This window comes from Homo sapiens, chromosome 19 (genome assembly GCF_000001405.40).
Source record: "Homo sapiens chromosome 19, GRCh38.p14 Primary Assembly".
Taxonomy (NCBI): Eukaryota; Metazoa; Chordata; class Mammalia; order Primates; family Hominidae; genus Homo; species Homo sapiens.
Window position 1 is genome coordinate 24,052,451 of NC_000019.10, and position 11,165 is coordinate 24,063,615.

Below are 11,165 nucleotides of genomic sequence, written 5' to 3' on the forward strand. Positions count from 1 at the left end.
TGCATTCATTATCTAGGAGATTTAACTCCCCTTTTTGCCTGCACCCTGACCACTGGGAAGATTGTGGCAAATCACCGGTCTCAGCAATCAAGTGATGTGTTTTTCCTGCCTGGTCCTTGCCCACAGATCATTGTAACATGTCACTGGGCCTAGCATCCAGGTGATGTGACTCTGCTGACTATATTCTGCTTTCAAGAGGAGATTGTAACGTATCCCTAATCGAGCACCCAGGTGGTGTGACACTTCTGCCCTATCCCTGCCCTTAGAGATGATTGTGACATATTGCCCCAAAAGGCAGGTGATGTGAGTCTTCTGGTCAATCCCTATTCACTGGTGGGATTGTGATACATATCTTATCCAAACTTATAGGGGCAATATGACTCTCATACCTCTAAACAACCAATAGCAGATACACTAGTTCTCATAGCCAGGGTCAGGAAAATGAGTAATGTCTTGGGTTTCTTCTTTGTATGAAGGTCATAAAGAATTAACACTCTGTCACATACTGTGTAAAGTCGTCAAGAGGTACAGGGAATGTCCTAACAGAACTCAGCACACAGGGGAGGTTGCGACACTCATATGCATAGCCTGCCAACAGTAAAGACTGTCATCCTTCCACATAAACACAGCTCACTGTTGAGGTTCTGAATCTCATACCCAGATGAAGTTGAAAGTTAGAAAATTAAATCTCATGTTAATTCGATCCATAGAGAGGTTAGTGTCTCTGAGACCAAGATTCAGCACACCTGTGAGTCAGTGACTTCATTAAAATGACAGAATTTGCAGGAAGGATTGAAGTTCTCATGCACAAATCCAGACCATCATTGAGACTGTCACTCAGGTACTTACACCCAACATACAGAGGGTATTTTGTCTCATACCTAGAACTAAGAAATGTGTGAAATTGTTAATCTCATACCTCGACCTTAATTCAGGTGTGTTTGTGACATACACCTTTTTTAAGCACCTAAGTAATTTGACTCTCCTGCCTGGGCCCAACGTACAGATGGGATTGTGCCATATTTCTGGACCCAGCATTTAGGTGATGTGAGTCTATTCTCTTGTCTTAGTGCTTTCCACAGAGAACACTGGACATATCACAGGGCCTAGTGCCCAGGTGATATGACTTTCCTCTACTTCCTAGGCTTTTCCTAAGAAGGGATTGTAATATATTGCTGGGTCAGAACCTAGGTCGTGTGACTCTCCTGTGCTGCCTGGTTCCTCTTGTACATTGTGTATTGTGACATGTGGCTTGTTCTAACACCTCGATGATGTGAATCTCCTGCATGGGCCCTGTCCACAGAGGTATTATAACATATCTTTTTATTCATCACCTAGATGATGTAACTCTTTTCTATCTGGGCCCTGCCAAAAGGGAGGATTGCGGCATATCACTGGACCCAGCATCTAGGTGATGTGATTCTCCTGTTTTCCCTGGGCCTCAAATATTTTGGATATTGTAAAATATTGCTAGGCCCACTACCTATGGGATTGCATGCTCCTGCCTGGGCTCTGCCCACAGGGACCTTGTGACATATATCTGCGTCCATGACCTAAAAGGTGACACTTCTTGCCTGCACTGTGCCCTGAACAGGAAATATTGTGACATATCCCTGGAACCAGACACCAGGTGATATGGCTCTTCTGCCCCTGTCTTGCCCCCAGGGAGCATTGTGACATAGTGCTTAGCTCAGCACCCAGGTGATGTGACTCTGTTGCCTGTGCTGTGCTTTCAGGAGAGAATTGTAACATATCCCTGGCTGAGCACCCAGGTGATATGACACTCCTGCTTGTTTCCTTCCCTCGGGGAAGATTGTGAGATACCTTGGCTGAAATCCCAGGTGATGTAACTCTCTTGCTAACTCCCTACCTACAGGTTAAATGGTGACATATACTATAGTCAGCTTATAAGTGGAATGATGACTCTCATACCTCTAGTCAGCTATTGGAAGAAATACTGTCTCTCATAGCTCGACTTAGATAAATGAGTCACTTCCTTGGTCTTCTCTTTTTATGAAGGTCATAAAGAATTGCCACACTCTAACATATTGTATAATGCCCTCGAGTGTTACAAACGTGTTATCCCAGGGCACACAGCACAAAGGTGAGATTGTTTCTTATATGCACACCTCACCAATTATTAGGATTATCACCCTCACACAGGGAAAGAGCCTATGGCTGAAGTCTTGAATCTCAAATGCAAACAGAATCTCAAATGCAAACACTGTCCACAGTTGGAATTGTGACTCATGTATGAGCCTCCAACCACAGTTGAGATGGTGACACATTTCTAAACTCAGAACATAGCAGATGAGGACTCTACTCTCTTAAACCCAACAAATTAAGAGAGATGTTGACTAATACCTGGGCTTAGGGCCACAAGTATGGTCATGGGTGCTTACAAACATGATTTTAGAGTAAATTGTGCCTCTCATTTATACTGGATAAAGCCTTTGAGTAGTATAGTGTACTAACCAGGCGCAGTGGCTCACGCCTGTAATCCCAGCACTTTGGGAGGCCGAGGTGGGTGAAACGAGGTCAGGAGTTCAAGACCAGCCTGACCAACATGTTGAAACCCCATCTCTACTAAAAAATACAAAAAATTAGCTGGGCATGGTGGTGGGCACCTGTAATCCCAGCTACTTGGGAGCCTGAGGCAGGAGAATTGCTTCAACCCGGGAGGTGGAGGTTGCATTGAATTGAGATCATGCCACTGTACTCCAGCCTGGGTGATAGTGCGAGACTCTGTCTCACCAAAAAAAAAAAAAAAAAAAAAAAAAAAGAGTGTACTAACAAGACCCAGCACACAGAGGAGATTTTCTCTTTTTCTTTTTCTTTTTTTCTTTTGAGATGAAGTCTTGCTCTGTCACCCCAGCTGGAGTGCAGTGGCGCGATCTCAGCTTACTGCAATCTCCACCTCCGGGTTCAAGTGATTCTCCTGCCTCAGCCTCCTGAGTATCTGGGATTACAGGCACATACCACCATGCCCGGCTAATTTTTGTACTTTTAGTAGAAACAGGGTTTCACCATGCTGGCCAGGATGGTCTCAATCTCCTGACCTCGTGATCCACCTGCATCAGCCTCCCAAAGTGCTGGGATTACAGGTGTGAGCCACTGCAGCCGGCCTGGAGATTTTCACTGTTATATGAACACCCATCAAAAAGTATACATCATCATATTCTCACATAAACACAGCCCACTTTTGAAGTTCTGGATCACACCTAGAGGAAGTCAAAGGTGGAAAAATTGACTCTTATATATGGATCCAGTCCATAGGTGAGTTGGTGACACTCAGAGCAAGATTCAGCATGCGTATGAGGCTGTGACTTCACTAATTAGACAAAGTCCACAGGAGGAGTATAGGCTGTCAGGTACAAATTTAGTTCACTGTTGACATTGTAACTCCTGTTCTTAGACACAACATATAGGAAGGGTTAACCTCCTTTACCTAAAACCGGAACATGTGTGGGATTGTTAATTTCATCTCTGCACCTTCCCACAGGTTTAATTGTAACATTTTTCTCTGCCCAGCACCTGAGTGATCTGACTCTCTTGCCTAAGACCAGCCCACAGATGGAATAGTGACACATAGCTGAACCCAGAACTGAGGGGATGTGATTCTATTTTTCTGCATTGGTGCTGCTCACAGGGGACATTGTGACATATCGCTGGACCTTACACTTAAATGATTTGAGTCTCCTCCCCTGCCTTGGCACTGCCTACGGAAGGCGTTGGGACATGTCTCTGAGCCCTATGCCCAGGTTATGTGACTCTCCTGCCTGTTCCCCGACCACATAAGCAATTGTGACATATTGCTGGGTTTGACACCCTGGTAATGTAACTCTACTGCCAAAAAGGAGCATTATGACATATATTTCCATTCATTACCCAGGTGTTATGACTCTCTTCTCCTGCCTGGTCCCTGCTCACAGAGGGAATTTTGACATATCCCTTGGCTCAGTACCAACAAGTGTGGTTCTTCTTCCATCATAAGTTCTGCTGGCAAGGGAGATGGAGACATATTGTGGAGCTCTATGCCAATGTGACATTACTGTTTGCTTTGGCCTGGACCTCAAAAGGCATTGTGACATATTGCTGGGCCCAGCAACATGGTGACATGAGTCTCCTGTATGGACCATGACAACAGAGCATTGTGACATATCTTTAAGAGCATCAACTATTTGATGTGACTCTCCTTTTCTACCAAGGTTTCCCCACAATGAGAGATTGTGACGTATCTTCTGACCCAGAAATCAGGTGATGTGTTTCTCCTGCCTGAGCTTTGCTCATAGGGAGCATTGTGACATATCACTCGTCTCAGCTCCCAGGTGATGTGACTGTACTGTCTGTGCCCTGGTTTCAGGAGGAAATTTAACATATCCCTGACTGAGCACCCAGGTTTTAATTCTTCTGCCTGGTGCCTTCTCTCAGAGAAGTTTGTGACATATCCCTGGCCTATTACCCAGATGATATAAGTCTCCTGCTCACTCCCTATCCACAGTGGAGATTGTGACATCTTTTTTCAGATCATAGGCACAATGTTGGCTGTCATATCTGAAACCAGTCAATAGGAGACATACTATCTCTCATATGTGGGCTTAGGTACATGGGTAAGATTGTCACTCTTCTCTTTTTAGGAAGGTCAGAGAAAATTACACTCTCTCACATATTGTATAAAGTCCTCAAGTGGTATACAGAGTGTCATAACGGCTCTAGAAAACAGATGGGATTGTGATTTATGTATGCACACTTTGCCAATTGTTAAGATTGTCACCCTCATCCATGGACAAAGCCTACTGGAGAGGTCTTAAATCTTACATGTGGATGCAGTGCAGAGTTGAAATTGTGACTGTCATATGTGAACATCAGGCAACAGCTGAGGTGGTGACTCATTAGTAAGCCTAGCTTATAGGGAGGTAACAACTCTCATATCTGGACCCAGTCATTATAGAGGTGTTAACTCTCATATCTGGGCATAGAGCCACAGGTACGATTATGGGTCGATACCATTACAATTGTCTCCCAGTCACAAAAGATTGCGACTCTCATGGGAACCTTATAAATTCCTCGGTTGGTACAGGGAATGTTCTAACTAGGCTCATTGTACAGTTGAGGTTTTGACACTCAGGCACACCCAGCCGACAGTAAAGATTGTCCTCTTTTCACATGAATACAATCCACTGGATGTTCTGAATCTCATATCCAGAGACAGTTGCAAGTTGGAAAATTTACTCTTATAAGTGAATCCAGTCCAAAGTTAAGTTGGTGACTTTCAGACCAAGATTGAACACACTGTTAGTCTGTGATTCCACTAAGGTGAAACAGCCAGTAAGAGGGATTGTGTCTCTCATTCAATGATTCAATTCATTCTAAAAATGTGACTTGTGTACTTGGATTTAACATACAGGAGGTGTTGACTCTCATACCAAGAATTGGGGTATATACAGGATTGTTAGTCTCATCCTTGGTCTTTCCTTCAGGTGCAGTTTTGACACACTTCTGTCTAGCAGCTGAGTATTGTGATCTTCAGAACTGGCCCAGCCTACAAATAGGATTGTGCCACACTGCTGGACCCAGCACCTAGATGATGTAACTATTCTCCTGCCTTGGTGCTACTCAAAAAAGACATTAACATATCTCAGAGCCTTGCACCCAGGTAATGTGAGTCTCCTCTCCTGCCTTGCTGCTGCACACAGAAGCGGGTTATGTACAGGATTGTTAATCTCATTTGGACCTTCCTGCACCTATGATTGTGACACATGCCTCTGTGTAGAACCCAAGTGAGTTTTCTCTCCTGTTTGGATTTAACCCACAGATGGAATCGTGACATATCGCTGCACCAGAAACTAGGTGATGTGACTCCATTTCCTTGCCTCTGTGCTTTCCACATTAGGCATTGGGACATATCACTGGGCCTTGCATCCAGGTGATGGGAGTTTTCTTTTTCTTTCTTTCTTTCTTTCTTTTTTTTTTTTTTGAGACAGAATTTCGCTCTTGTTACCCAGGCTGGAGTGTAATGGTGCAATCTTGGCTCAAGGCAACCTCCGCCTCCTGGGTTTAAACAATTCTGTCTCAGCCTCCCAAGTAGCTTAGATTACAGGCATGCGCCACCACGCCTGGCTAATTTTTGTATTTTTAGTAGAGACAGGGTTTCTCCATGTTGGTCAGGCTGGTCTCGAACTCCTGACCTCAGGTGATCCACCTGCCTTGGCCTCCCAAAGTGCTGGGATTACAGTTGTGAGCCACCGTGCCCGGCCAGTGATGGGAGTTTTCTCTCCTGCTTTGGTGCTGACCACAGTGAGCATTGTAAAATATTGCTGCCATCACCCCTAGATTATGTTAACTCTCCTCTGCTTTGCCCACGTGGTTCACTGTGACATATTACTGGGTCTAAAACCCAGAAAATGTAACTCCCTTATTTAGGTTCTGCCTGCAGGAGCCATTGTCACACATCTCTGTGCTCACCACCCAGGTGATGTGACTGCCTTTTACTGCCTAGTTCCTTCTCACAAAACATCTTGTGGCATACTGCTAGGCCCAGTACCTGGCTGGTGTGACTCCTCTCTTCTTTCTAGGTTCCACCTGCAGCAAAGATTGTAACATACCGCTGGGCCCAACAGCATAATGACGTTATTCTTTTGCCTTGGGCCTGCCCTCAGAAGGCACTATAAAATATTCATGGCCCCAGCGCCAAGGTGATGTGTGTCTCCAGCCTGGATCCTGCCCACAGAGGGCATTATGACATATCTCTTGGCCCATCAGATGTTTAATATTATCTCCTCCCATTTCCTACCCTGTGTTTGCCTGTAAGAGACATTGTCACATGTTCCTGGGCCCAGCACCTAGGTGATGTCTTCCTGAGACCTGTCCATATGGGGATTGTGATATATTGTGTGGCCCAGAACTTACTTGATGCGACTCTCCTCTCATGACTAGGCCCTGCTTACAGGTGTGATTGTGACACACAGCTTGGCCTAGCCCCTAAGTTATGTTACTCTGCTCTTATTCTTCAGTCATTTTCACAGGGGGCATTGTGACATATTGCTAGACTGAGAACTTAGGTGATGTGACTCTCCTCTACTGCTTGGAATATTCCCAAAAAGAGAGTTTGATATATTGCTTAGCCAGGATCCTAGGTGATGTTACTCTTTTCTCCTGCCTAAACCCTGCATACATTATGTATTTTGGCACTGGGGCCACAACCTAGGTGATGTAACTCTCCTGCATGGGCTTTGCCTACAGGGGTATGATGATGTTTCTTTTCTTTCATCACCCAAGTGGTGTGACTCTCCACTTATGCCTGGGTCTTGATGAAAGAGGAATTGTGACATATCCCTGGCCCTAGCACTTAGGTGATGTAACTTGCCTTTATTGCCAGGGCATGGCATATTATGAATATTGGACGTATCTCTGGGACTGACACCTAGGGGATGAGAGGTTCCTGCCTTGGCCCTGCCCACAGGAGGCTTTGTGGCATGTCTCTGGCCTCATTACCTAGAAAGATGTGACTCTTCTCTTCTACCTGCATTCTTCCCACAGAGAAGATTGTGACATCACTGGATCCAGCAATTAGAAAATGTTTCTCTCCTGCCTGAGCCTTGCCCACAGGAATATTGTGACATATCCTTGGGCTCAGCACCCAGGTGATGGAACTCTGCCACCTGTGCCCTGTCTACTTAGGCTATTGTGAAGCTGGTTTCAATACCCAGGTGATGTAACATTCCTGCCAGGCCACTGCCTTCCAGGGATATTGTTACGTACCTTTGTGCCAATCACCAAGGTGATGTGAATCTTTTCACCTGCCTAGTCCTTGTTCACTAGGGGATAATGATATCTATTGCTGGTTTCAGCACCAAGCTGATGTTACTTGCCTCTTCTTCACAGATTCTGCTCACAGAAAAACTAACACATCACTAGGCCCATCAGCGAAATTATTTTGCCTGGCCCTGCCCTTAAAAGACATTGTGACATACTACAGTGCCCAGCATCAATGTAATTTGTCTCCTGCCTAAACCCTGCCTACTGGGGGCATTGTGACATATCTCTTGGCCCATCAACTATTTGATGTGACTCTACTTTCTTACCTGGGCTTTGCCAATAGTAGAGCTTGTGACCTATCTCTGGGCCCAGCACCTAGATGTTATGACTCTCCCGCCTGGTCCATGCACACAAAAAAGAGAGTGACTTATACTAGGATCAACACACAAATGATTCTATTCTTCTGCATTATCCCAGCCCACATGGCTTATTGTGACATCTCTAGGTTCATCATCTAGATGATATGACTCTCCTTCCTGGGAACTGTCCATAATGAAGATTGTGACACATCACTTGGCCCAGCACCTATGTGATATGACTCCTTTCTTTTGCCTGGGCCTATCAGTTTGGGTGATTGTGTCATATAGCTTTACTCAGCACCTTGATTATGTGACTCTCCTGTTTCTCCTGAGTCCTACCCACAGAGGTCATTGCAACATATCCCTGAGCCCCTAATTTAGGTAATTTGACTCCTGCCTGGGCCCTACCCTCATTGATTTTTGTGACATAGTTTTTGACTCAGCACCTAGGTAATGTGATTCTTCTCCACTGCTTGGACTCTGTCACAGAAGGTATTGTGATGTATCACTGGGGCTGACACCTAGGTGAAGGTACTGTCTTCTCCTGCCTGGGCCCTGCATAAATTGTATATTTTGACATTTCACTAGGTTCAACACATGGGTGATTCAACTCTCTCACATGGACCGTGAGCATGGGGTTATTGAGACATTTATTTTTGTTCATCACCTAACCGATGTGACTCCTCTCTGATCCCTGTCAAAAGGAAAGATTGTGACATATCACTGGAACCAGAACTTAGGTGATGTGACTCTTCTGTCTAACAACCACATATTTTGGTTATTGTGACATTTCACTGGGCCAAACACCTCAGCCCTGTCCACAGGGGTTCTTGTGACATATATCTGCATCCATTACATAAAAGATGTGATGCCTTTTCTACCTGCACCCTCCCCACAGGAAAGGTTGTAACACACTGCAGGGCCCAGCCACCAGGTGATATGTCTCTCCTGCATGTGCATAACTTTCAGGAGAAAATTGTAACATGCCACTGGTTGAAAACCCAGATGATGTGACTCTCCTGCCTTTTCACAGCCCTCAGGGAAAAAAATTACATATCATTTGCCCAGCATCCAGGTAATGTCACTCTCCTGGGTGGTTTGTGCCAACAAGTTGGTTGGTAACATATATCTCGGCCCAGCTCACAGGTTTGATGGTGACTCTAATACCTCCTACCAGCCAATAGAAGAGACACTGTCTCTCACAGGTAGGCTTAGAAAGAGGAGTAAAATTCCTGGCTGGGTGTGGCGGCTCACGCCTATAATCCCAGCACTTCAAGAGGTAGAGGTGGACGGATCACCTGATGTCGGGAGTTCAAGACCAGCCTGACCAACATGGAAAAACCCTGTCTCTACTAAAAATACAAAAAATTAGCCAGGTATAGTGGCACGTGCCTGTAATCCCAGCTACTCGGGAGGCTGAGGCAGGAGAATCGCTTGAACCCAGGAGGTGGAGGTTGTGGTGAGCTGAGATCACACCGTTGCACTCCAGTCTGGGCAACAAGAGTGAAACTCTGTCTCACAAAAAAAAAAAAAAAGAAAAAGAAAAAGGAGTAAAATCCTGGTGGTCTCTCTGTATGAAGGTTATAGAGAATTACCACTCTCTTGTATATTGTGTAAAGCACTTGGATGGTACAGAGCATGTCTTCTGTACCATAGGACCCAGCAAACAGGTTAGATCATGTTTCATGTAAGCACATCCTGCCAGTTTTTAGGATTGTCATCCTCACACATGAAAGAGCCCACTGACTGATGAGGTCATAATTCTCATGGATGGATGCAGTCCATACTTAAAATTGTGACTATCTTATGTGAACATGTGGCCACACTTGAGATGGTGAATCATTTCTAAACCCAGCTCATAGTGGTGAGGACTCTCCTCTCTGGACCCAGCTAATTGGAGAGATGTTAAATGTCATACCTAGACTTGGGACCACATTAGATCATGTGTTCAGAGCAGGTTGCAACTCTCAGGCACACCATATACAGTCCACAAGAGAGTGTCCTGACAGAGAGAAGCACACAGGTGAGACTGAAATTTATATTCACACCCAGTCAATACCAAAGATTGTCATCCACTTAAACACACTCTTCTTTTGAGGTTCTGAATCTCACTTTTGGAGGCAGCTGAGTGTTGGAAAATTGACTCTCATTTGTGGATTTTTGTCCACAGTTGGGTTAGTGACTCGTTAACCAAAATTCAGCACACCTTTGTGACTGCAACTTCACTAAGGAGCATAATTTATTTATTTTGAGATGGAGTTTTGCTCTTGTTACCGAGGCTGGAGAGCAGTGGCACGATCTTGGCTCACTGCAAACTCTGCTTCCTGGGTTCAAGTGATTCTCCTGCCTCAGCCTCCTGAGTAGCTGGGATTACAGGTGCCCACCACTATGCCAGCTAATTTTTTGTATTTTTAGTAGAACTGGGGTTTCACCATGTTGGTCAGGCTGGTCTTGAACTCCTGACCTCAAGTGATCCACTTACCTCAGCCTCCCAAAGTGCTGGGATTACAGGTGTGAGCCTCCTTGCCTAGACTAAGGCACATAATTTGCAAAAGAAATTGAGGCTCTTATGCACAAATCCAGTCCACCATTGAGACTGACCCCTGTACTTAGACCCAACATGCAGGAAGTGTTGACTGTCATTCCTTGACTCAGGACATGAGTGTAATTGTTAATGTCATCACAAGACCTTTCTACAAGTGTCATGTGACATACATCTTAGCCCAGCATCTGAGTTATTTGTCTTTTCCTGGGACCAGTCCACAGTGCCATATCACCGGGCCCATACCCTTGGTAATGTGATTCTATTCTGCTTTGATAAAGCGCACAGTGGTCATTGTGACATTGCTTGGTGTTGCACCCAGGTGGTGTGAGTCGGCTCTTCTGCCTTGGTGCTGCCCACAGATGTATTGTGACATATTGCTGGGCCTATGTTATGTTTATCTTTTGCTTGTGCCCTAAACACATAGCCTGAGTCCAACGACCAGGTGATGTAACACTTCATCCTGGACCGGTCTACAGAGGGGATTGTAATATATGTCTTCACCA

At 45.1% G+C, this 11,165-nt stretch overlaps 1 protein-coding gene across 23 annotated transcripts in view; it reads left to right on the forward strand.

Annotated features, from left to right (window-relative positions):
- ZNF254 (zinc finger protein 254) overlaps positions 1-11,165 on the forward strand; it is a 96,520-nt gene that overhangs the window by 19,002 nt on the left and 66,353 nt on the right. For 7 of the 23 annotated variants that reach the window (XM_047439750.1, XM_047439742.1, XM_047439747.1 and 4 more), the window contains one exon: positions 5,481-5,656. The exons of the other annotated variants lie outside the window; for them this stretch is intronic. The gene's annotated coding sequence lies outside the window, so the exon portion shown is untranslated. The remainder of the gene's footprint in view (positions 1-5,480; positions 5,657-11,165) is intronic. 23 annotated transcript variants of the gene reach the window in all.